This window comes from Homo sapiens, chromosome 10 (assembly GCF_000001405.40).
Source record: "Homo sapiens chromosome 10, GRCh38.p14 Primary Assembly".
Classification (NCBI taxonomy): domain Eukaryota; kingdom Metazoa; phylum Chordata; class Mammalia; order Primates; family Hominidae; genus Homo; species Homo sapiens.
Window position 1 is genome coordinate 119531041 of NC_000010.11, and position 23389 is coordinate 119554429.

General features: G+C 47.1%; 1 protein-coding gene across 2 annotated transcripts in view, besides 7 other annotated features; it reads right to left on the minus strand.

Annotated features, from left to right (window-relative positions):
- RGS10 (regulator of G protein signaling 10) overlaps window positions 1-11679 on the minus strand; it is a 42903-nt gene extending 31224 nt beyond the window's left edge. The window contains exon 1 of one of the 2 annotated variants that reach the window (NM_001005339.2): window positions 11550-11679. In NM_001005339.2, coding sequence (NP_001005339.1) covers window positions 11550-11598 — 49 coding nt within the window. In that variant the 5' untranslated portion in view covers window positions 11599-11679. Of the gene's footprint in view, window positions 1-5423; window positions 5547-11549 lie in introns of those variants that run through there. The other variant, NM_002925.4, reaches the window with a different exon arrangement.
- Window positions 7718-7817: an enhancer, noted in NCBI's record as "active region_4124". NCBI's record gives its function as "activates an Ori minimal core promoter by ATAC-STARR-seq in GM12878 lymphoblastoid cells {active_cell/tissue: GM12878}" and the evidence as "EXISTENCE:reporter gene assay evidence [ECO:0000049][PMID:35858748]".
- Window positions 11132-11301: a silencer, noted in NCBI's record as "silent region_2874". NCBI's record gives its function as "represses an Ori minimal core promoter by ATAC-STARR-seq in GM12878 lymphoblastoid cells {active_cell/tissue: GM12878}" and the evidence as "EXISTENCE:reporter gene assay evidence [ECO:0000049][PMID:35858748]".
- Window positions 11352-12091: a silencer, noted in NCBI's record as "silent region_2875". NCBI's record gives its function as "represses an Ori minimal core promoter by ATAC-STARR-seq in GM12878 lymphoblastoid cells {active_cell/tissue: GM12878}" and the evidence as "EXISTENCE:reporter gene assay evidence [ECO:0000049][PMID:35858748]".
- Window positions 12102-12171: a silencer, noted in NCBI's record as "silent region_2876". NCBI's record gives its function as "represses an Ori minimal core promoter by ATAC-STARR-seq in GM12878 lymphoblastoid cells {active_cell/tissue: GM12878}" and the evidence as "EXISTENCE:reporter gene assay evidence [ECO:0000049][PMID:35858748]".
- Window positions 12222-12381: a silencer, noted in NCBI's record as "silent region_2877". NCBI's record gives its function as "represses an Ori minimal core promoter by ATAC-STARR-seq in GM12878 lymphoblastoid cells {active_cell/tissue: GM12878}" and the evidence as "EXISTENCE:reporter gene assay evidence [ECO:0000049][PMID:35858748]".
- Window positions 12592-12671: an enhancer, noted in NCBI's record as "active region_4125". NCBI's record gives its function as "activates an Ori minimal core promoter by ATAC-STARR-seq in GM12878 lymphoblastoid cells {active_cell/tissue: GM12878}" and the evidence as "EXISTENCE:reporter gene assay evidence [ECO:0000049][PMID:35858748]".
- Window positions 12934-13442: an enhancer, noted in NCBI's record as "NANOG hESC enhancer chr10:121303486-121303994 (GRCh37/hg19 assembly coordinates)". NCBI's record gives its function as "activates a minimal SCP1, AML or CMV promoter by ChIP-STARR-seq in primed H9 embryonic stem cells {active_cell/tissue: H9 hESC(primed)}" and the evidence as "EXISTENCE:reporter gene assay evidence [ECO:0000049][PMID:30033119]".

A 23389-nucleotide genomic window follows, 5' to 3' on the forward strand; every position in this document is an offset into this window, starting at 1 on the left:
AAATGCTGCAGTGGCAAGTTCCTGAACACTGAGTTTCTTTCCAACAAAGTATAAATCCAATTAAAAGATCATTATTACAAGAAATTTCTGCAGCAGGGTTCATTCTGCCAAGCATTCCACTAATTTACTCTTCTGCTCTTTGCCCAGAGAATACAGTTTGACAGTTTACTCCATTTCCCCAGCAGATCTTCTCTTAAGTAAATAAATCTAGAGACACAAGTTCACTGTTCCAGGAACAATCTAGGCAGCTGCAAATTTCTCTTGCCATGGCAGAACCACTTTGGCCATAAGTTTTCAACCTTGGTCTGAAAGGATTCCAAAACTCTTGACATTCTTTTCCATAATAAACCAGACCATGTTTGGGTTTTCACTGCCACGCTGTCTTGCAAATAAATACACACAGTAGATTACCATTTAGCCAACAAAATGTCTGAGAGTTAAAAGAACTGACCTCACTGTTAGACAATTGCCAACCCCCACCCTTTATTTCATACTCTAATCATTTTTGCATATTAGGTTTATGTGTTCAAATGTGTTTTCATTTGAACAAAAAATTTTACAACTCAAAACACACTAATGTGGTCCAGGCCCACCTCCCCCACCACCTCATTTTATAGACTGGGAAGCAAAAATCCAGAAGATAGAATGACCTATCCAAGGTGATGCAGCTAATGAATCACTGGATGGACCCAATACTGGGACCTGTATGGGAGGTCAGCTGTCCTCACCAGGGCCATGTCTGCAGAATCCCAGGGCTCCTGGGAACATAGTTAGAAAACCGATGGGCCCTTCCATTCCATGGTCTCCTGGGCTAAGATCTCCCTTATATCATATGCCATGAAATACGTTAACAATTGACACTATTACAGAAGAGCATGGAGTTTTCAGGGACGGGTCAGAAAGTATGCCAAGATGGAGCTGCTTTTTATAGCCATGGGTATTGGTTTTCTGGCTATGGTGCTCTAGATAAAGAGCAATTCCTTCTTGCCTTTTTGCTCACCTTCTGTCCCCATAAGTGGAATAGAAGATCCTTCTATCTGAGATACCTGCTCTCTATCTGTCATAAGTTTTTATTTTCCCCAAAAATGTTGGTTTGAATTTTTCTAAGACTTCCTGACTGTCTTTCAAGTTTAAGGCTTTTGGCTATGGCACCCCACCCTTTTCAAATCCATCTTGACTGATATCAGTATAGACAGATCTTGATGAGACAGCATTTGCAAACTCCACTCACCCAGTGGCATCTCTCTTTTCCAAGTCACTATCCCCAGCCTCCAATATGACTGAGCAGACAGGGATAGCCCTTAGGCTGAGGGCACTTCTGCAACTCAGGGTCCCCTGCTCAGGGGACACACTAAGTAATGAATTCCTAAGCCATCTCAGCTCAGTTACGACCCGTGGGCGCGGTGGCTCATGCCTGTAATACCAGCACTTTGGGAGGCCAAGGCAGGCAGATTGCTTGAGCTCAGGAGTTCAAGACCAGCCTGGGCAACATGGTGAAATCCCGTCTCCACAAAAAATACAAAAATTAGGCCAGGCGTGGCAACTCACACCAGCACTTTGGGAGGACGAGATGGGCAGATCACAAAGTCAGGAGTTCGAGATCAGCCTGGCCAACATGGTGAAACCCTGTCTCTACTAAAGATACAAACAATTAGCCTGGAGTGGTGGTGCGCACCTGTAATCCCAGCTACTCGGGAGGCTGAGGCAGGAGAATTACTTGAACCCAGGAGGTGGAGGTTGCAGTGAGCCGAGATGGCACCATTGCACTCCAGCCTGGGTGACAGGGCAAGACTCTGTCTCAAACAAAACAAAATAAAACAAAAACAAACAAACCAAAAAAACCACAAAAATTAGCTGGTCATGGTGGTATGGGCCTGTAGGCCCAGCTATTCAGGAGGCTGAGGTGGAAGGATCACTCGAGCCCAGGAAGCAGAAACTACAGTGAGCCGATATTGCGCCACTGCACTCCAGCCTGGGTGACAGAGCCAGACGCTGTCTCAAAAAAAAAAAAAAAAAATCATAAAAAAAGAAAAGAGGCCGGGCACAGTGGCTCACGCCTATAATCCCAGCACTTTAGGAGGCTGAGGCAGCCAGATCACGAGGTCAGTTCAAAACCTGCCTGGCCAACATGGAATACAAAAATTAGCCGGGCATGGTGGCACGCACCTGTAATCCTAGCTACTCAGGAGGCTGAGGCAGGAGAATTGTTTGAACCCGGGAGGCGGAAGTTGCAGTGAGCTGAGATTGCGCCACTGCACTCCAGCCTGGGTGACAGAGAGAGACTCCGTCTTAGGGAAAAAAGTTTAAAAAAAAAAAGAAAAAAATGTTAACAACCAAGGTGGAAGGGGAAGCAGGTTAAAGTAAGTAAGTAAATAAATACATATATACATACATAAATAAATGTTACAACCAGTCCAGTAATATTAGAAGAAATAAATACTCTTTCTCAATAGCAAAGCAGGTTTACCTCTGAACTTAAGAATAAAGCAAAACCAAGATTTCCCAGCTGCCCAACTTCTGGTACCTGGATCCACAAAGTTGCAATATTCTTCTATCCCTTTTCATTGATAAAAGTTTCCATTTCAGACAGATTACACAAGAAAGCAGGACTGACATGAATAGGTGGAAAAAATGTCAGGCATGTTCTCCAGCAGCTTTACGATCTCTCCAGCTAGGGAAGACCTGCTTGTGATATTTGTTTGTTTCAATTTTATCATGCTGTTTTATTTTTGTTGTCATTGTTTACTTCAGCTGTAAAACATTTTTGCAATGAATAAAAGTTTTTGGTGTTTCATTTTGTTTTCTTAGCTCCTGGGCTCTTTACGTCATTTTAGATCTTCAAATTTTTTGCATGCAAAATACGTATTTTTCAGCAAATTTATTTTCAGACTACTCTGTCATTAGCTAATAATAATGGTTAATACTTCAGATGGGCCAGGCATGGTGGCTCACACCTGTAATCCCAGCACTTTGGGAGGCCGAGGTGGGTGGATCACTTGAGGCCAGGCATTCAAGACCAGCCTGGGCAACATGGCAAAACCACGTCTCTACAAAAAATACAAAAATTAGCCGGGTATGGTGGTGCACTCCTGTAATCCCCAGCTACACGGGAGGCTGAGACAGGAGAATCACTTGAACCCGGGAGGCGGAGGTTGCAGTGAGCTGAGATCATACCACTGCACTCCAGCCTGAGCAACAAAACAAGAACCTGTCTTAAAATAAATAAATAAATAAATAAATAAATAAATAAATAAATAAATAAATAAAAAAGGCCAGGCACTGTGGCTCATGTCTGTAATCCCAGCACTTTGGGAGGCCGAGGCAGGCGGATCACGAGGTCAGGAGTTCAAGACCAGCCTGAACAATACGATGAAACCCTGTCTCTACTAAAATTACAAAAATTAGCCAGGCATGGTAGCACGTGCCTATAGTCTCAGCTACTCGGGAGGCTGAGGCAGAAGAATTGCTTGAACCCAGGAGGCGGAGGTTGCAGTCAGCCGAGATCGTGCCACTACACTCCAGCCTGGGTGACAGAGCGAGACTCTGTCTCAAAAAAAAAAAAAAAAAAAGGTTGGCGCGGTGGCTCACGCCTGTAATCCCAGCACTTTGGGAGGCTGAGGCAGGCAGATCACGAGGTCAAGAGATCGAAACCATCCTAGCCAATGTGCTGAAACCCCATCTATACTAAAAATACAAAAAATTAGCCAGGTGTGGTGGTGCACGCCTGTAGTTCCAGCTACTCGGGAGGCTGAAGCAGGAGGATTGCTTGAACCTGGGAGGCGGAGGTTGCAGTGAGCCGAGATCAAGCCACTGCACTCCAGCCTGGTGACAGAGCAAGACTCTGTCTCAAAAAAATAAAAAGAAAAAAGAAAAACTTGCAAATGATTTACAGTGTGCTGGGTACCGTTCCAAGCTTTTACCTGAATTAAATGATTCAGTTCTCACAATAACCTACTGACGTGGTTAGTATTATTTCCACTTTGCAGACGAAGAAACTGAGGCACGGTAACTTACAAGCGTCCCAGCTAGAAAATGGGAAATCACGGCCCAAACCCAGGTACTCCTGCTCCAGAGTACACGCTCTTTACCAAGGGCTCTACTGCCATTTTTAGCTTTTATATCTGCTGATCTTTATACTCACAGAGGCCAGAACACAACAGCCTTTAAGAGACCAAGAACAATCACACTTTGGGGAAAAAACAGAAAACTGTTAAGAGTCCAATCCATGCAGAAAAAAAAAAAAAAAAAGTCACATAAGACCAGGTGGAATCATCCAGCACACAAACACAATGTATATGCGTTTTCCATTTATGATTATGCTGTCCTATGTGGCTTCTGGCGTCAGTAAAAGCCATTATTTCAAGGATGGGTGAAGCATCACAGTGCAGATGGCTGGGGCTGGTTGCTTGCAGCTTATTTTATGATGCATTATTTATAGATGCTATGATGTCATATCTAACAGAGACCTTCTCCAGACATTAATTCCTTGGAAATCCATACTCAAAAGGCATCTGTAACACTCATCGGAGATGAATGCTCACAGCATGGATTTCTGCTGTTAATTTGCAGGAAGGTCTGTGTAATCATCCTGCATAGACAATTTCTCCAAGTCAAATAATATTTTAGTAATATCTCACTATCCAGTTTCCTCAACAGCAGAGTCAACTTACATCCTCAGAAGGTTTGTCCTAAGTACTCCCCCAAACTCACAGACTATTAAACATTCGAGTCCAGGAAAAGGCAGAGATATTAACCCTAAATTCCAAAGTGGTTTGGTACAACTCACATGCACAGGCGTGCACACACACACTGTACTCCTTTAAAATACTCTACTTTGTAATGAAGTTTCAAAGAAAGTACACACCCCACAAAACTTATTTAAAACCTCTTGTCACCTATACCACATCAAGTGTAGTACATTTTTTAAAAAGTCCTCCCAATTTAGAATCAGAGAGTCATTTTGTTACAACTGGTGATCTGTGTAAGGCTCCAGAGAAACTGGGTCATGGAAACATGGTATCTAAATATTACTTAAGTGTTTATCGGCTCCAGTATCTAGCTGCTGAGAATAACTACCCCACCTGCATGCAATTCCCTTGCCAGAGAGATCTGATTGAACTGCAGTTAGCAGGAAATAACATCAAAAGTGAAAAAAGTTTTTCAATAATCATAGTAATAGCCAGCATCCAAGTCAGGAGCAGGAAAGCTGGTGGCAGAGGGTTGGCTCCACTCAGAAAGGGCATCGTGGCGTTTTCACACGAGGGTTCGGGACTCACAGAAAGCCAAGTGCTCCTACTGGCCCTTCCACAGTCACCTGTGCACCTCTGTGTCCTCACAGCACACTCTTCCCAGCCCCTGCCCCGCCCAGGGCCAAGGCGACAGGCAAACTGCGGACATGGAAAGGGGTGGGGGCGATTCCTTACGTTCCATGCTCTGGTGTCCACCTGAGAAGTTCCACGCAGACCAACAATCCACTGCCTTCCCAGAGACGCCTTGTGTGAGAAAGGCAGAGACTGGAGGGCTCCCGAGCACCCTTGGGTCCGAAGAAAAAACAAGCCTCAACATCCTCTTTTAAGTGGACTAAACAACAGATGGCCACTGGTTTCCAGTTTCTACTAGAGGGAAGGAAATAAGAACGCCAAACTGTTATTTGTAGCCTCCCTAGACTCTCCACTTTCTAGGCAAAGTCCAGAAAAAAGAAAATGGCCCAGCAGCCCTAGCCCGAAAACAAAGACCCTGTCATCGATTTTCTCCACTTCCAGAAGCCCCTGTGTGTCCTCTGGGGCCTGACATTTCTGCGTAAAGCTGCCCTCACCCTCCTACTCTGCCTCAATCTGTCCCGCACCCTCCCTCGAGGCAAAGTAAATGACTTTTTCCTCCAGGGTCAGTCAGGTGGATGGTGCATTTCTTGAAAGCAAGGGCTGAGTCTTCCTCAGGGTCAGCATGATGTCTGGCACTCAAGTATATATTTTATAGTGATAAACATTTTCTAAGGAATGAGCCAAGCCAGGCACCAGGCTAAGGGTAGAGGGCACAGAAAGGAGGACGGATAGCTATTAAAAATAGTTGAGGCCAGGCGTGGTGGCTCACGCCTGTAATCCCAGCACTTTGGGAGGCCGAGGCGGGCAGATCACCTGAGGTCGGGAGTTTGAGACCAGCCCGACCAATGTGGAGAAACCTAAAAATACAAAATTAGCCAGGCGTGGTGGTGCATGCGTGTAATCCCAGCTACTCAGGAGGCTGAGGCAGGAGAATGGCTTGAACCCCGGAGGTAGAGGTTGCCGTGAGCCGAGATTGCGCCATTGCACTCCAGCGTGGGCAACAAGAGTGAAACTCCGTCTCAAAAAAAAAAAAAAGAAAAAGAAAAGTTGACATTTACTGAGCACTTACTATATCCCATCGAAACTTTGCAACAATCCTTGCAAGCTAGTTTCCTCAAGGGCCCCATTTTACAGATCAGGAAACTGAGGCACAGAGACGATAAATAATTTGCTACAAAGAAGCAAGCAAGGAAGTGGATGAGCTGGGATGCAACCCCAGGTTGTCTGGCTGGAGAGAAAAACACAGAGAAAGATGCCAGAAATGAAAGGTGGGGGCTATTTTCTCACAGAACTTAAAATGAATTGAGGAGAGGAGGCCAGGGGTTCCCAGGTGGCCGCCTGCCCACAGTGCCACGGGCTGGTAGGCGGTTTTCTTCACTAGTCCACAAATAAACGAGAAGGAAGACTAGGAAATATTTACCAAGTGAACTGTGCTGGTAGAGGAAGGACAGTCTTGGGTTGCTTGTTTTGCTTTTGCTTTGAAATAGATCACTATGTTTCTTTACGTGGGGCACAGTGCAGGACATACAAAAGGGAGTGTGGTGTAATAGTCTTCCTCACACCTCTGTCCCTCAGGTGCCCAGTGTCTCTCCCCAGGAGCGACAACCTCTACAAGATTCTGTGGATCAGGACAGCTCTTTACCTGAGATTATATCTTTCCTACTATTGGGGGTGTTAAAATGTCCTTTTCTGTGTGAAATGATAAAGGTGTTTGATGATGGCTTTGTTTGTTTCTAATGTCCTGACTACAGAAAAGAAGGAAGGGAGGGAAGGAGGGAGGGAAGAAGGAAGGGAGGGAGGGAGTGGAGGAGAGAGGGATGGAGGAAGGGAGGAAAGTTGTCAGCTCCACATTCATTCTCTAAATATATTTTAGCAAAGTCGCTAAATGGTTGTTGTGTTTAGGTGGCCGTGGACTTGGGTCCAAGACTTGAGTTCTCTGCCCCTTCAGAAATGGGTGCCTCCGGACAAGTCCCTGCCCCTTAGTGGCCTCTGCAGCCCTTGAGGGAGAAATGAAATGGTTCCCTCCTGCTCAGACAAGCTGCTCTGTCAAGCATGGAGGGTGGGAGGCAGCGAGGCCTAGAAGGGTGGGTCTGTTGGAGCAGGGGGACCCAGGCTTTGGGACAGGACAAAGGACAGCTGGGGGAGCAAAGGCACAGAGGGAGTATTGTCCAGTCCCTCCAGGGGTAGAGTAGGGAGCAGGAAAAATGGGGCTGGGAAGGACTCAGTCAGATAAGGGGTCCCCCACCAGGCAGTGGGGCAGCAAGGTGGACCTGAGGGAGCTTAGCAGGGCTCTTGACAGATGGGAACTTGCTTGGAAGGGAAATTTGTCCCCACAAGTCTGCAAGGGACTGTCTCACTCCAGCGGATGCCGCCTGACAGCTCTTATCAAGGGGCCACTGCTGCTGCCTGCTGGGGCCCCCTCCGCTCCTGCTGCCACCCGCAGGCTGCTGCAGCAAAGAACTATCTGGGGGAAGCAGAAGAAACTTGGGGGCATAAATTTAGTGCAGTTTAAGCAACAGGTTCCCAGAGCCCAGCATCTGGGGACTCACTCCACCCAGGGAGGGAAGTGACTCAGTTCACCCAGGAAGCCCTAGGAAATGGCCATGCCAGGCATCTACATTTTCTAACCATGAAGAAAGGAGACATCACATCAAATACAAATCAGCCAACAGAGATAAAACACCGTGAGCACCTCACACCCACCAGGCTACGGGCTGCACTAGGTGGTGCCCAGAGCAGGTCCCAGAGGCTCAACTGGCTCATAAGCTGACCACACCTATAGAAAACAAGGCCCTTCGGCTGGCCCCTCTGTCCCCCCAGGCCTGGGCCAGTGATATTCTGCAGAGAAAGTTGTCCCAGCTGCCAAGGCTACCCTGCTGCCGAGTTGTTAAAACAAAGACATTAAATTGCTGTGCAAACTGTCATCTTTAAATAAAACAAGCCCAGCCATAAACTTAAAACTGTTCCCAAGGGTTTAATCGGATCCTGTATGACAGGCCCGAGGGGACGGCCGAAACCTGCCCGGCAGGGTGGGAATTCCCCTGAGAGGTCACCCCTGGGTGCAGCTGCAGGGGTAGGGAGTCGGGTGGCTTCAGCTTGGCATCTCAGATGGGCATATTTCAGCTATCAACAATGCAAGGTTGATAACTGGGCAGGGTGAGTGGACAGAATCCCGTTGGGGGACCCTCACATTTCACTGGCCTGAGAATTCTCTGGGGTGCTTGTCAAAGACAAGCCCCACCTACAGTCCCCAACACTGAATCAGTCTGGGCAAGGCCTGAGAAGCTGCACTTTATCAAAGCCCTCCTGAACCCACAGGACGGGTGGAACACACTTTGAGAAACCTCAGGAAGAATAAGGAAATCCCACTCTGAACCTTGGAAGGAGGGGTTAGGAACTCAAAATCCTCCGCGGAAAGACAGTGTCTCCAGTGAGATTTTGCTGAAAGGTAGGAAAAGTGTAAAATAGAAGGTACTGGGGGAGGCAGGACCACAGCCAGGTCCAAATCAGGGGTCCTGCAGGAGCAGCTCTGGCTTTTGTGGAGCCTGAAGTTTATACAATTTGAGGATCCTCTTTAAGAAAAATAATTCAAAATTACAAAAAAAAAAAAAAAATTAAGTACAGGGTCCCAAAAATCACTTGGCTGTCTTCTCAGTACCTCGGCCCACAGGCCCAAATGACCCCTTTCTCACTAGGCTTCTTCTTTTCACACGGCTGGGTGGTGATGACCAGTCAGGCAAGAACTTATGTTATTTTCCATAATGGGGAAAGACCCTACACCTACAATTCCAAAGAAAATCAGGCTATTGGAGTGGAGGCATCCAGTACCAATCCATGATGTTTAGTGGCTGATCTTCCTTCCTTCCTTCCTTTTTTCTTCCTTCCTCCCTTCCTTCCTTCTTTCCTTTTCTTTGGATCTCACTCTGTCACCCAGGGTGAAGTGCAGTGGCACGATCTAAGCTCACTGTAGCCTCAACCTCCCAGGCTCAAGCCATCCTCTCACTTCAGCCGTCTAAGGAGCTGGGACTACAGGCACGCATCACCATGCCTGGCTAATTTTTTAATTTTTTTGTAGAGACGGGGTTTTGCCATGTTTCCCAGGCTTATCTGGAACTCCTGGGCTCAAGCAATCCTCCTGCCTCAGCCTCCCAAAGTGCTGGGATCACAGGTGTGAGCCACTGAGCCCGGCCTGAGACCGACCTTTCTGTCAGTGATGTAACCACATTTTATGAGGTTTAAAATTTGTTGCCCTGAAATAATTTGTTCCCTAAAACTGCCTTCAGCCTTTTTGGGGTGCAACCTGGCTACACGCAAAATCACCCCAAATCCATGTATCTCCCAGGATACAATGGTTCTATCTGTCAGTCTTCAACCCAAAAGCAATCTAAAGTAATAAGTAACGCGTACAGGGCTATTCATAGCAGCTCTATTTATAACAGGCAAAAGGGAGAAAAGCTACTAATTATTACACTTTTATTATGTGCCACACATTGTACTAGGGGCTTCATATGGTTTTGAGTATTTAATCCCATAACCCTATGAAACCCACTTTGCAGGTGGAGAAAGGTGCTGGAACATCAGCTCTCCTGAGTCAAAATGAAGCCTTCATTTTTAGCTTTGTTGATTTTCATGATGTAAATATCCCATCATAACTACTTTCAAGCTACCTATGGTTTACAACCAGTTTCCAAACTTTTTGAATATTTGGCAACTGGCTCTTGCAAGCCAGTTTGAGCCAGCTCCAGCACATCACTGAAACGGAGGCACAGAGAGATCAAGTAATTTGCCCAGTGTTGCTGAATGACAGAGTCAAGGTTAGAACCAAGAGTTTAATTCGAGTCCAGGCTCTGAGCAGCGCTCCACAGGCCTGTGCCAACCATAGAGACTGGTTAACATTAACACCCACAAGGGAATTCTTTGACTCACATGCAACACAAAAAGGTTTACATGACCACTAACGCTAACGGAGCACTTAGTACTTGCCGGGCAACAATGTAAGATCATTACAACAACCCTATGAAATCCTACATATTAAATACAATAATTTGCAAAACCTGATGGATGGAAGACAGGTTCCAATTAAGTACTTTAAAAGGCGAGTAGCTACTGTTATTCCCACTGTGCAGAACCTCATTCTGCAGAAAGGTCCCACGGCTGGTGAATATGGCGAAGGTGAGATTCGGATCCAGCCAGTCTGGTCCCAGTCTCTAAACCACAATGTCCCTCATAAAATACCAGGAGCAGAAAGGAAATGCACCAACGCGTTGGGACTCTGAGCGCCAAGCAGAAGTGAATCTTGGCGTGGGAAGCCCGGCAAAGCCCCCGAACTTCAGAGTCAGGGGAACCTGGGTTTGAAAGCCTCCCCATCACCTGCGGAGTGTGACTGGGGCAAGTTACCTAACAGCGCCTGGCTTCCGCTCCCTCCTCACTCACCGGGTTGTCCTAGGGGTGAAGGGAGAGTTCACCCAACGCGGTGGACAAAGCCCTTGGCGCACCCAAAGGCCTGCACAGGTCGTAGCTATTGTGATGAGCAAAAGGGTGGAAGGACCGGAATCAAGGGCACGGCTCCACCTTCACCGTGGGGTCTTTGGCCTATCAAGTTGCCCGAGATCGTGGCTCAGGCTGGCCCAAAGTGACGGCCAAGGCGAATCCTTCGTAACGTCAGAACTTCGCTGGCTCGGACCGCAGAAGTGCCCTTCTCCATCCTGGGGTTCCGCCACCCTCGCGATCCCACCTTTTGGCTCCTCGCGGCAGAAGCGAAGGCCCCCGACGCCCCAGGCCCAGGGGCCCAGTCGGATGCCCGGGTCCAGCCGTGCTCCCCCGGGCGCTCGGCATCCTTCCACCCACGCCCGCAGCGGAGGCGGAGAGCGTCACGGAGGGAGAAGCCCGCGCGCCGTTCCGCTTTCGGAATCTGGAGCCCCATGTCACCTCCAAAGTTTGGAGATTTGGGGCGCTCCTTTTTCTCCCAGACCATCACTAAAAAGAAAACTGCGGCTGTTCCTCTTTCAGCCAAACTTCCTCCCCGGGGCTCCCGGAGGAGCTCTGCGCTCCCGTCGCGGCTGGGACCGCGAAGGTGCGGTACCCAGCGGGGAGAGGTGGTGCGGTCGGCCGGGGCTCCAGTCTGGGAGGTACCACCGAGCCGCGCCCGAGCACAAGAGGGAGGGCAGGAGGCCGGGCGGGCGAAACGGCGCCCCGACCCCGAGCCCGCGGGCCCCCGAAGCCGCTTACCTGACGGCGGCCGCTTCCTGCTCAGCCGGCTCACGGCGCGGTTGAACATCGCCGCGGGCGCCCGAGGAGGAAGAAGGAGCAGCCCGGCGGCGCGGCGGCTGAGCCGGAGGAAGGCGAGGAGGAGGAGGAGGGCGAGGAGGAGGAGGAGGAGGGCAAGGAGGAGGAGCGGGCTCAGCACCGCCCCGGAGCTCTAGGTCCCCGCCCGCCGCCCTCCTCCTAGCCAGGCGCCGCGTGGCGCGCTCAGTGCGCCCTGCCCGCCCCCGCTGGTGAGGACTCGCGGTTCCGCTCCGGGGTGCCCGGGCGGGGCAGGGCAGGGCAGCCCCGGGTGACCCCCGATCGCCCAGAGTGTGCCCCGCGCCTGGGATAAGGTGCACTGGCCCAGAGGGAGCCCGCGCCGCCGGGAACTTAGTAGCCCCGCGGAGGCGGTTAGCGCGTCCCGGGGTCCCTGGCCCTCGCCTGAGATGCCGCCCCGGCCCGCCCCGCCCAGCTTCAAGCTCCCGGGCCCATCGCGGTCTCCCGCCTTCTCCCTGTAGCCCCGGAGAAACTGGCACGGCGCCGCGGGCGCACCGCGCTTCGGGGCTCTCAGCGAGCCTTCGCAGGTGGCGGGCGGGGTCCCCTCCCGGGTCACAGGCTGGGAAGCCTAGGCCTCGCGGTTCTGCAGAGTCCGGGCGCGGCCCAGCCTGTGGCCTTTGCCTCCTCGTCACCAGGATCCCCGCCTGCTGGGGCCTGGCTGCTCCTCGACTTCGTGGGCGCTGCGCCTTCCCGCCCCGCGAATGCGGGTGGGGCGTCCCCAGGGCCCGTGCGCTGAGCTAGCCGAGCCGCCGCGGGTGGGCGCCCTCTCCCCGGCCGTGCCGCGCGGGCGCCAGGACTCGGGGAGATCTGAGAGGATTCTGCAGGAACCCCCCGGTTCCTGCGCCGGGCGGTGCTCTGTCCCGCACACCGCGCTCTCGGGACACTTCTCTAACTTTGGGGACACGTGGGCACTGCCTCTGGCAGGGCCTTCAGGCTCCACGACCGGGACCACTCAAGCCCCCACGGCGTCACCTGCTGGGCGCTGCGCGCTCTACGGTCTCCTATTATTTCATTTCTTCTATGGAGCAGCCCCAGAGGGGATGTCATTAGCCCCCATTTTCTTGAACATTTGGTTTGCAAGAAATTGTCTTTCTGGCGAGTTTTATTTTTCTCCTTGTGTATCTGGCTTTGTCTCTAAATTGGTCTTTATTTTTAGCTGTACTAATTGCTATTTTTCCAAACCGTTCCCCAGTCGCCCTCCCCCCATCCCCCCGTCCTTTTGCAGTTTTTTTCACTACTTGGCACTTTCTTTTGTATCTTCTATTCTGAGCTTCCAGTTCTGCTCACTTTCCCTCTCCCTCTACCCACCCCACAGCCCCAGTTGCACCCCAAGTGTGGCCGGTGGTTGCTTGTTGTTTCCCTCCCCGCTATTCCCCCTCCAAAAGTCGTTTTCCTCCGAGCATTTCCAAGCACTCTCCCCCTTCTGCTGCCAAAAGAGGATTTCCAGGCTCCTGAAGCGAACGCGGTGACCAAGAACAGGGTTAGACCCAGCGCGGGGAGTTCTGCTTTTAAAACTGCTGTTGTTGGCCTACTCCGGGCCCAGACAAACTTCCATCTCATTGTAATGGGATCAAGCTGTGATACTTAACTATAGGCAAGAGTTTCACCTTTCGTAAGAGCGGGATTTTAAATGCTGGCAGAGTCCTGGATCCAAGTGAGGTCACTGCGTTCTTAAAACAATAAGGGAATTGGTGCAACGCACTCACCCAGAAAACTTCCCCGAGACCAAATTACAAGTAATCCTAAGACAGGAAATAAGCACACTGGCACACAGGGGTAAAAGTTAGGCACAGCAGCTCAGTGTTTTGCTAGTTGCCAAGTCCACCCTAGCGTGTCCTGAAAAACACTGGTGTGGCTTAAGACATGCTATGAATCCCTCCTGAGCTAAGAACCCCAGGCATCTCTTAAATAAAGGGAAAATATAACAGCCTTAAATCACTTTTACTGTCCTGTTAGCACATCAGAGAGTAAGTACAAAAATTAAGATGCATAGTTAGGGCCAGGCGCTGTGGCTCACGTCTGTAATCCCAGCACTTTGGGAGGCAGAGGCAGGCGGATTACCTGAGGTCAGGAGTTCAAGACCAGCCTGGCTAACATGGTGAAGCCCCATCTGTACTAAAAATACAAAAATTAGCCAGGCCTGGTGGCAGGTGCCTGTAATCCCAGCTACTCAGGAGGCTGACACAGAAGAATCACTTGAGCCTGGGAGGAGGAGGTTGCAGTGAGCCAAGATCTGAAGGAGGAGGTTGCAGTGAGCTGAGATCTCACCACTGCACTCCAGCCTGGGCCACAGAGCAAGACTCTGTCTCCAAAAAAAGGAAAAAAAGGCCGGGTGCGGTGGTTCACACCTGTAATCCCAGCACTTTGGGAGGCCAAGGCGGGCGGATCACCTGAGGTCGGGAGTTCGAGACCAGCCTGACGAACATGGTGAAACCTCATCTCTACTAAAAATACAAAATTAGCCAGGCGCGGTGGCAGGCATCTGTAATCCCAGCTACTCAGGAGGCTGAGGCAGGAGAATCGCTTGAACCCGGGAGGCAGAGTTTGCAGTGAACTGAGATCGAGCCATTGCACTCCAGCCTGGGTGACTGAGCAAGACTCCATCTCAAAAAAAAAAAAAAAAAAAATGCATGGTTAACGTTTAAGTGCACAGTTTAAAATTTTTGCCTGGGACATTGAAATTGCTATAAATACCTGTTTTAAGTGTCTGAAGGTTCAAAAGCCAGTTTTCAAAGTGTATTGTGCAAAAGACCACGTATAAAAGTATAAAGCCTCCTAACTCCTAAAACTCGCCAAATGCACACACACATACACACACACACTCACACACACACACACACACACACACACGATTAAGTTCCAACCGTGGTTTGCATTGGATTGAAGGTGCTCACCATCCCAATGGCATTTTTCCTGTAATTCCAGCATGCACTTTCTGAAGCTTTTTTTTTTTTTTTTTTTTTTTTTTGAGACAGAGGTTTCACTATGTTGTCCAGGCTGATTTCTGACTTCTGGGCTCTCAAGTGATCCTCCCTCCTTAGCCTCCTAAGTCAAGCCTTCACAAACAAACTGCGGTAGCCAGTGTGGGGAAGAAGAGGATGAGCGGTTTAGCCCCTTTCTTCCCCTGCTGGTCTCACTTTTGGTTCAAGGATGTTTACATCAGGCAAGAAGCAAGAGCCCCGGATGTCTTCTGGTAACACAAGATTTCAGAGGGATTACTGGCTTTGGAGTTCAATATTTTCATTCTACCCAGAAACTAAAATATTGGTAAGCTGTGAATACATTTTAGAGCCTCTCATCACCAGAATTTATGTAACAAGACTATTCTAGGCCAGTTGAGGCAGACAAGGTATAGTAAAATGAATAAGTGGCCAACTTAAAGTCAAGAGACCTGGGTACTAATCTGACCAAACAGCAACCAGCTGTGTGGACACACCAGATGTGTCCTCAAACACATCGTAGCCTCAAGGGACAGGGCAAGGAGAGGTCCACCTACACTCCGAGCAAGTGGTATTCAATAGCAATAAACAAAAAAGCATCTGGCATCGTGCCCAGCACATGTAGGCACACAAAAAATTACTGGAATTTTAATTACTCTTACTCCCCCTACAATGATGTTTTAATAAATGATAAACTTTATGGTACAGCCAGTCAAAAGTGGATTTCTTTTCAATTATAGGAAATTGGCAGGGTTAGTAACACTGATGTTCACATTGTTACTACACTGTGAAGGAGGGAAAGTAAATTGTTACAACCTCTCTAGAAGGAAGAGAAGCAGATGTGTTAATATATGTATTTGACAACACATGTAAGAGTCTTCAAAATGTTTATACCTCTTGGACTAGTGAATAATTCTATAATTGGTAATTTGTGCCAAAAGAAAAACAATAAATGATGCGAACATTTACGTGTACAATTAAACATAACACTTCCTTTTATCAGGGTTATTTACAGTAGCTAAAAATGCCCGCTAAGAGAATGACTAAGGTATAACATATTCTCCTGATAGAATATTTAACAGTTATAAAAAACTGTGAAGAATCTTTGGAACTTGGTGGAAAAAACTAGTGCAAAGAGAAAGATGAAAGAATCTTAGACGAAGCTCTCGTTGAAAAATCAGGATACAAATATAGAGAAAATTTTCAGTGTGGAGGAAGAGGAGAATACGGTATGTTTATACCTAGAAAGCTAGCAGTTAATTACACCTAAATATTACTAGACTATATCTCTAGATAATAGGATAATGGGTTCTTTTTTCTTCATTACATTTTCCTGTTTTGCAAACTTCTGCAGTGTATGTGCTTTTAAATCAGGGAGAAAAATCACTAATTAGAGACTAGTTGAAATCTCTACTGGGTTTAATGCCACAAAAATACATAAGGCTTCATTTCTGTTGCAGTTTTGTGTTTTGTTTTTTAGAGACAGGGACTTGTTCTGTCGCCCAGGCTGGAGTGTGGTGCTGCGATCATAGCTCACTGCAGCCTTGAACTCCTGAGCTCAGGCAGTCCCCCTACCTCAGTCTCCTGAGTAGCTAGGGCTACAGGAGTGCACCACCATACCCTGCTACTTATGTATGTACGTACGTATGTATTTATTTATTCATTAATTTTTTTATTTTTAATTTTGTTTATTTATTTATTTATTTATTTGAGATGGAGTCTCAAATAAATAAATAGAGATGGGATTTCACCATGTTGGCCAGGCTGGTCTCCATCTCCTGATCTCGTGATCTGCCCACCTCGGCCTCCCAGAGGGCTGGGATTACGTAAGCCACTGCACCTGGCAAAAGTAAATTTTATTTTTAGAGCAATTTTAGGTTCACAGCAAAATTGAACAGAAAGTAGAGTTCCACATGCCTCCTGCCCCAAACACGCATAGCCTCTTATAGCATATGACCTCCCACACCAGAGAGGTACCTTTGTGCAATCAAGGAACCTACAATGACACATCGTTATCATCCAGAGTTCATATCAAATACCCTTTTCCCATCTCAGGACTCCCACCTTTTTTGGAGGGTGTGGGGCTAAGGAGCAGAAAGTTTAATACGCAGGAGTAAGAGAAAGGAGAACAGTTCTCTCTCTAGGGAGAGAGAGGGGCTTCCGAAAGGAAAGACCAACAGTGGTGGGGTTCACTGGATTTTATAGGCAGACTTGAGAAGGCGGTGAATGATTTACATAGGGCCCACAGATTGGTTAGATCAGATGTGACGTTTACAAAGCGCCCAGGGAAGGCTGGCCACCCCACCCTAATCTTACTACACAAATGAGTTTTCCACTTGACTGGTGACATCTTGTCTGCTCCTTATACACATGTGGCTGGCAAAGACAAGGGAAGATGGAGCCGCCATTCTGAACATGCCTAGTCCCAAGTAGCTTTTTTTCTGCCGGCATTCACCCGTGCAAGCATCCAGCTTGCTTGTCTATGTCTGCAGCCGGGCGTGGCGGCACATGCCTGTAATCCCAGCTACTCGGGAGGCTGAGGCAGGAGAATCGCTTGATCCTGGGAGGCGGAGGTTGCGGTGGGCCGAGATTGTGCCATTGCACTCCAGCCTGGGCAACAAGAGTGAAACGCTATCTCAAAAAAAAAAAAAAGAAAGAAAAGAAAGAAGGAAGGAAGGAAGGAAGGAAGGGAGGAAGGGAGGAAGGAAGGGAGGAAGGAAGGAAGGAAAGAAAAGAAAAAGGAGACAACAATGGGAGAGAGATTTCAGCCAATCAGAAAGGAGATGGAGAAGCAGAAACACTTAACAAGAGGAAGGAGCTACAACCTAAATGCAGGCAGGGCGTGCCAGTTAGAACAAGCCAATTCACCCTGCAGAGCCTCAGAGGAGCTCCTGACCCAAAGGCACAGACCACAGAGAAGAGGACAGGCAAGGACTGAAAAGGGGAGATTGATAGAAGTCTATATAAGGAGACTTCAGTTCCCCTGCCACCTACCTTAGGAAATAATGATCTTGGGAAATAGTGAAGTACAGAAGCTCTGGACTTATGAACTACTGGCTGAGCTAAAGGTGCAGATGAGCTGTGGGCATCAAAGAGAGTGTTAAGCCTAGATCTGTACACAGGATTGGGAGGCCCTTCTTCCTCAGCCCCTTCCCCAGCAGCCAGATGTACTAGAAAAATTTACTCTCTCCAAAACAAAAAACAAAACAAAACAATGGAAATTAACATTTAACGTTCTCCAGAGTTAGCACTGGCCAACTACACAGACATACACAATCCACATGCCTCTTTCACACACACAGTTCCAAAGAGCTTTGGACACCTCCTTCTCAAGGATGAGGACTATGCAAAGACCACAGACATTTAAGGAACGTCTCTAATGAGAGAGACAGAGAGAAATAGAAAATAGGAATTCAGGCGAAAGACAAGAGAGAATAGGCATGAATCTTTTAAAATACTATAACTAGCTCAGAGAGGGAGAGAGAGAAGCTATTTCATCCATTCATAAAAGAAGAAAGATTGGAATATAAAAATGAAGTAGAAACAAAACATTTCAATAAAGGAGTTTGAAGATAAAGGTGAAGAAATCTCCTGAAGATTAGAGCAGATGAAGAAATGTACAACAGGAGAGAAAGAAAGAAAGATTGGAGAATCAATCCAAGTAATAGGAGTTCCAGAAAGACATTACAGAGAAAATGTTAGAGAGAAAATTAAAGATATAATTCAAGAAAATTGCCCAGACTGAGATGGGCATGGTGGTGTGACCTGTAGTCCCAGCTACTCAGGAGGCTGGGGCAGCTGGACTGCTTAAGCTCAGGAGTTTGAGGCTGTAGTGTGCTGTGATCTCACCTATGAATAGTCATAGCACTCCAGCCTGGGCAACATATCAAGACTCCATCTCTTAAAAAAAAAAAAAAGAATGAATGAAAATTTCCCACACTGAAGAAAATTCATCTCCAAAAGCAAAGAGTCCATAACGGGCACAATGTGAGACCTACAACAAGGTACACCTGCATAAAATTTCAAAACAAAGACAATTTCCAAAAAAAAACTCAGAAAGAGCACATTGGTGGTGGGAATACTAAATGGTACAGCCACTCTCAAAGGTGACTTGGAAGTTTCTTAAAAAGTTAAATACATACCTATCATATCATCCAAACATTCCACTCTTAGGTATTTAACCCAAGAAAAGTGAAAACGTGTCCATACAAAAACTCTTACATGAGTGTTCATGCCAGCTTTAGTTGTCATAACCTGGAAACAACCCAATGTCTGTCAGCAGCTGCATGGATAAACAAATTGTGGTATAAACATACAAAAGAATGAATTATTGACACATTCAAAAACATAGGTAAATATCAAAATAATTACTCTCAATGAAAAAAAAAACAGACCAAAAAAGATATATACTGTATGATTTCATTTATGTAAAATTCTAGAAAATGCAAACTAAACTATAGTAACAGAAACAGATCAGTGGTTGTTTGGGGGAGAATAGGGAGTAGGGGTAGGGGAGTGATAGAAAGGATGGATTTCTTTTTGTTTTTTTGAGACAGAGTCTCGTTCTGTCACCCAGGCTGGGGTGCAGTGCCAGTGGCTCAATCTCAGCTCACTGCAAACTCCACCTCCCAGGTTCAAGCAATTCTCCTGCCTCAGCATCCTGAGTAGCTGGGATTACAGGCATATGCCACCATGCCCAGCTAGTTGCTTTTTTTTTTTTTTTTTCTTGAGACGGGGTCTCACTCTGTCACCCAGGCTGGAGTGCAGTGGCATGATCTTGGCTCACTGCAATCTCGCCTCCCTGGTTCAAGCGATTCTCCTGCCTCAGCCTCCCGAGTAGCTAGGATTATAGGTGTGCGCCACCATGCCCGGCTAATTTTTCTGTTTTTAGTAGAGACGGGGTTTCACCATGTTGGCCAGGCTGGTCTCAAACTCCTGACCTCAAGTGATCCGTCTGCCTTGACCTCCCAAAGTGCTGGGATTACAAGCGTAAGCGATCGTGCCCGGCCCAGCTAATTTTTGTATTTTTAAGAGACAGGGTTTCGCCATGTTGGCCAGGGTGGTCTCGAACTCCTGGCCTCAAGTGATCTGCCTGCCTCAGCCTCTCAAAGTGCTGGTATTACAGGCATGAGCCACTGCACCCAGCTGAAAGGATGGATTTCAAAGGGGCATGAAGGTTATTTTGAGTTGACATGTTCACTATCTTGACTGTGGTGATGGTTTTGTAAGTGTATACATGTCAAAACTTATATAGTTTATATATGTGCATTCCATTGTATGTAATTTTATCTCAATAAAGCTGTTTGTAAAAGTATGTATGTGCTGAGAATGTAAAATGATGCAGCCCCTTTGGAAAACAGTTGGGCAGTTCCTCAAAAAGCTCCATGTGGAGTTACCATATCACTCAGCAATTCCACTTCTGCATGTCTACTCTAGAGAAATGAAAACATACGTCCACGCTAAAACTTGTACACAAAGGTCCATAGCAGAAAAGCAGAAACAACCCATGTCCATCAGCTGACGATGCACAGGCAAACCTGGTAGCTCTCCATCTATTACATGGAATATTATTCAACCATAAAAAGGAATGCAGTACTGATACGCTACACCATGGATGAGCCTCACAGGGGAGCCAGTGATCACCTCTAATACCCCTTTTGGCTCTTAGTGGGCTCTTCAGCTGGATCTAGAAACCAAACTGACACCAAGCTGATCAACAAGAGCGAAGTATACACATTTTATTAGTTTGGCATGTACGTGGAGATCTTCACAAGAGACTCAAGTCTCAAGTGGCTAAAGCAAAATGCTTTTTTTCTGCATCACTTGGACTACACAGAGCAAGATGCTTTTATACTTTTTAGACAAAGAACAATAGATTTGAGGAGGAAAAAATAGGACAAAGAAAATCTGGCAAGGGCGATAAAATGTTCTAGGAGATCCACTAGGAGATACAGGAGGGGGTGTAAATAGGTGGAAGATAAGTGTTATTTCATGAAGTATGTTTATTCAGGTCCATTGCCGTCCTCAGTTCCAGTCTCTGGTGATAAGGGCTATTTTCTCTCTCTGGTTTGGAGAGGGGACCCCTCCCAGAGGAATCTTTACCGCTTGATGCATGCAGGAAGAGGGAGGTCAGCTGGCCCTTTCTGAAGCCACCATTTCTCCAATGTTTGCAACTTGAAATAATCGATATACCAACTAGGCATATTTTGGGGTGGCGCGTCCTTCATGCTCTCAACCTTGAAAATGTTACGGTAAGTGAAAGAGTATCACAGAGAGCATCCCATGCTGCATGATTCCATTTATACCAAGTCTAGAATAGGCAAATCTGTAGAGACAAAAAGTAAATTTGCAATCTCCTAAGCCTGGGAACAAGGGAAGAAGGGGAATGACTATAATAGGTACCTGGTTTCTTTTTGGATCATGACAAAGTTCCAAAATTAGATTATGTTGATGGTTTCACAACCCCATAAATACATTAGGAACCATTTAATTGTGTGCTTTACATAGGCAAGTTTTTTGGTATATAAATTCTATCTCAACAAAACTGTTTATTTACAAAGAGCAAAAACAGGTCACATACAAAGGATCAGAAATCAAAATGTCACTGGACTTTCTGGAAAGCTAGAAAGCTTGAGGGATATCCTGAAAAAAAAAAAAAAAAAAAGGATCAGGTGCAGTGTAATTTCAGCACAGGTGGGTGGCTTGAGCCCAGGAGTTCGAGACCAGCCTAGGCAACACAGTGAGACCCTGTCTCTCCAAAACAAAAATACAAACATTAGCTCTGCGTGGTGGTGCATACCTGCAGTCCCGGCTCCTGGGGCGGGGGCTGAGGGCTGAGGTGGGAGGATTGCTTGAGCCCAGAAGGTTGAGGCTGCAGTGAGCCGAGATCATGCCACCGCATTCCAGCCTGGGTGACAAAGGAAGACCTCATCTGAAAAAATAAAAGGAGTAAATGCAAAAAGAGAGGGCAGCACAGGCTCCAGAGAACAAGGGCCCAACCTGGGAGAGCAGCAGAGTCCTGATCAGGGTAACAGGAGTGCAGTGGGACTATGGCAGCAGGTGCTGGGGGAAGCACGAGAGAAGCCTCTAGAAGCCTCCTTTGATGACCTTGAATTTGAGAAACTGTATTGAAAACCATTTGATTCTACCAGGCGTGGTGGCTCACGCCTGTAATCCCAGCACTTTGGAAGGCTGAGGCGGGTGGATCACTTGAGGCCAGAAGTTTGAGACCAGCCTGGCCAACATGACAAAATCCTGTTTCTACTAAAAATACAAAAATTAGCCAGATGTGATGGCTTGTACCTGTAATGCCAGTTACTCAGGAGGCTGAAGCAGGAAAATTGCTTGAATCTGGGAGGCGGAGGTTGCAGTGAGCCAAGATCATGCCACTGTACTCCAGCCTGGGCGACAGAGCAAGACTCTCAAAAAAAAAAAAAGAAGAAGAAGAAAGGATGGAAGGAAGGAAGGAAGGAAGGAATGAACAAAAGAAAGAAAGAAAGAAAAAGAGAGAAAAGAAGAATCAGTAGTATATGCATATTGTTCAGATAGATGGAGGCAAATACTAGAAGAACAGCTGAGAATGAAAGATGAGTAGCTTTTGAGGAGTAGGCCTGGGAGAGGAGGGTGAAAGGGAGTGCTGGGGTTTTTTGTTTTGTTTTGTTTGTTTTATTTTGTTTTGTTTTTCAGATGGAGTCTTACTCTATTGCTCAGGCTGGAGTGCAATGGTGAGATCTTGGCTCACTGCAACCTCTACCTCCCGGGTTCAAGCAATTCTCCTGCCTCATCCTCCTGAGTAGCTGCGATTACAGGTATGCACCACCACTCCCGGCTAATTTTTTTGTATTGTTAGTAGAGACGGGAGGTTTCACCATGTTGGCCAGGCTGGTCTCGAACTCTTGACCTTCGTGATCCGCCCACCTCGGCCTCCCAAAGTGTTAGGATTACAGGCGGGAGTCACCACACCCGGCTGGGAGTGCTGTTTTTCATAAGACTTTTAGTACACTTTGGCTTTTTAGACTATTATACAGATATATTATTTTAATGAAAATAAAAATTAATTTAAAAAAGTTCTAGTAGTCACCACTTGCCTAGTCCATAACAAAAGAGAGGACTTGGTGGTATCACCAATAATAGTAACAGCTAAATTTCACTGAGTACTCACTATGTACTTGGCACTGTTTTATCTTATCTTTTAATTTTTAACATTTTTCTAGAAATGGAGTCTTGCTCCTCCACCCAAGCTGGAGTGCAGTGGCTCAGTCAAAGGTCACTGCAGCCTCAACCTCCTGGGCTCCAGCGTTCCTCCCACCTCTGCCTTCTAAGTGGCTGGGACTATAGGCACATGCCACCATGCCAGGCTAATTTTTTACTTTTGTAGAGATGTGGTTCTTGTTTTGTTGCCCAGGCTGGTCTCAAACTCCTGGCTTCAAGTAATCCTCCTGCCTCAGCCCCACAAAATGTTGGGATTGCAGGCGTGAGCCACCATGCCTGGCCCCAAGTACTATTTTAGATACTGTTCTTATTAAACAACCCCTTGGAGGGGCCTTAATCACTACCCCAGGTTGCCTCTAATGGCAGGCAGAACACCAATTGTAAGTGAAATTACAGTTCTTCATGGATTGAAAAGTACCACTTACAGATATATTCTTTGGATCATCACTAAACCTTGTGATATAGGAATTTATAGCTGGAGAAACTGAGTCTCAGATTTGGAGAAATGCTCAACAGCAGAGGTGAAAGTGAAAAGCAAGAATTCAGGTCTCTGGGCTCCTGGTGCCAAATCTTTACATAACTGCACCCAAATCCATGAAAAACAAAAAAAAATTTTTT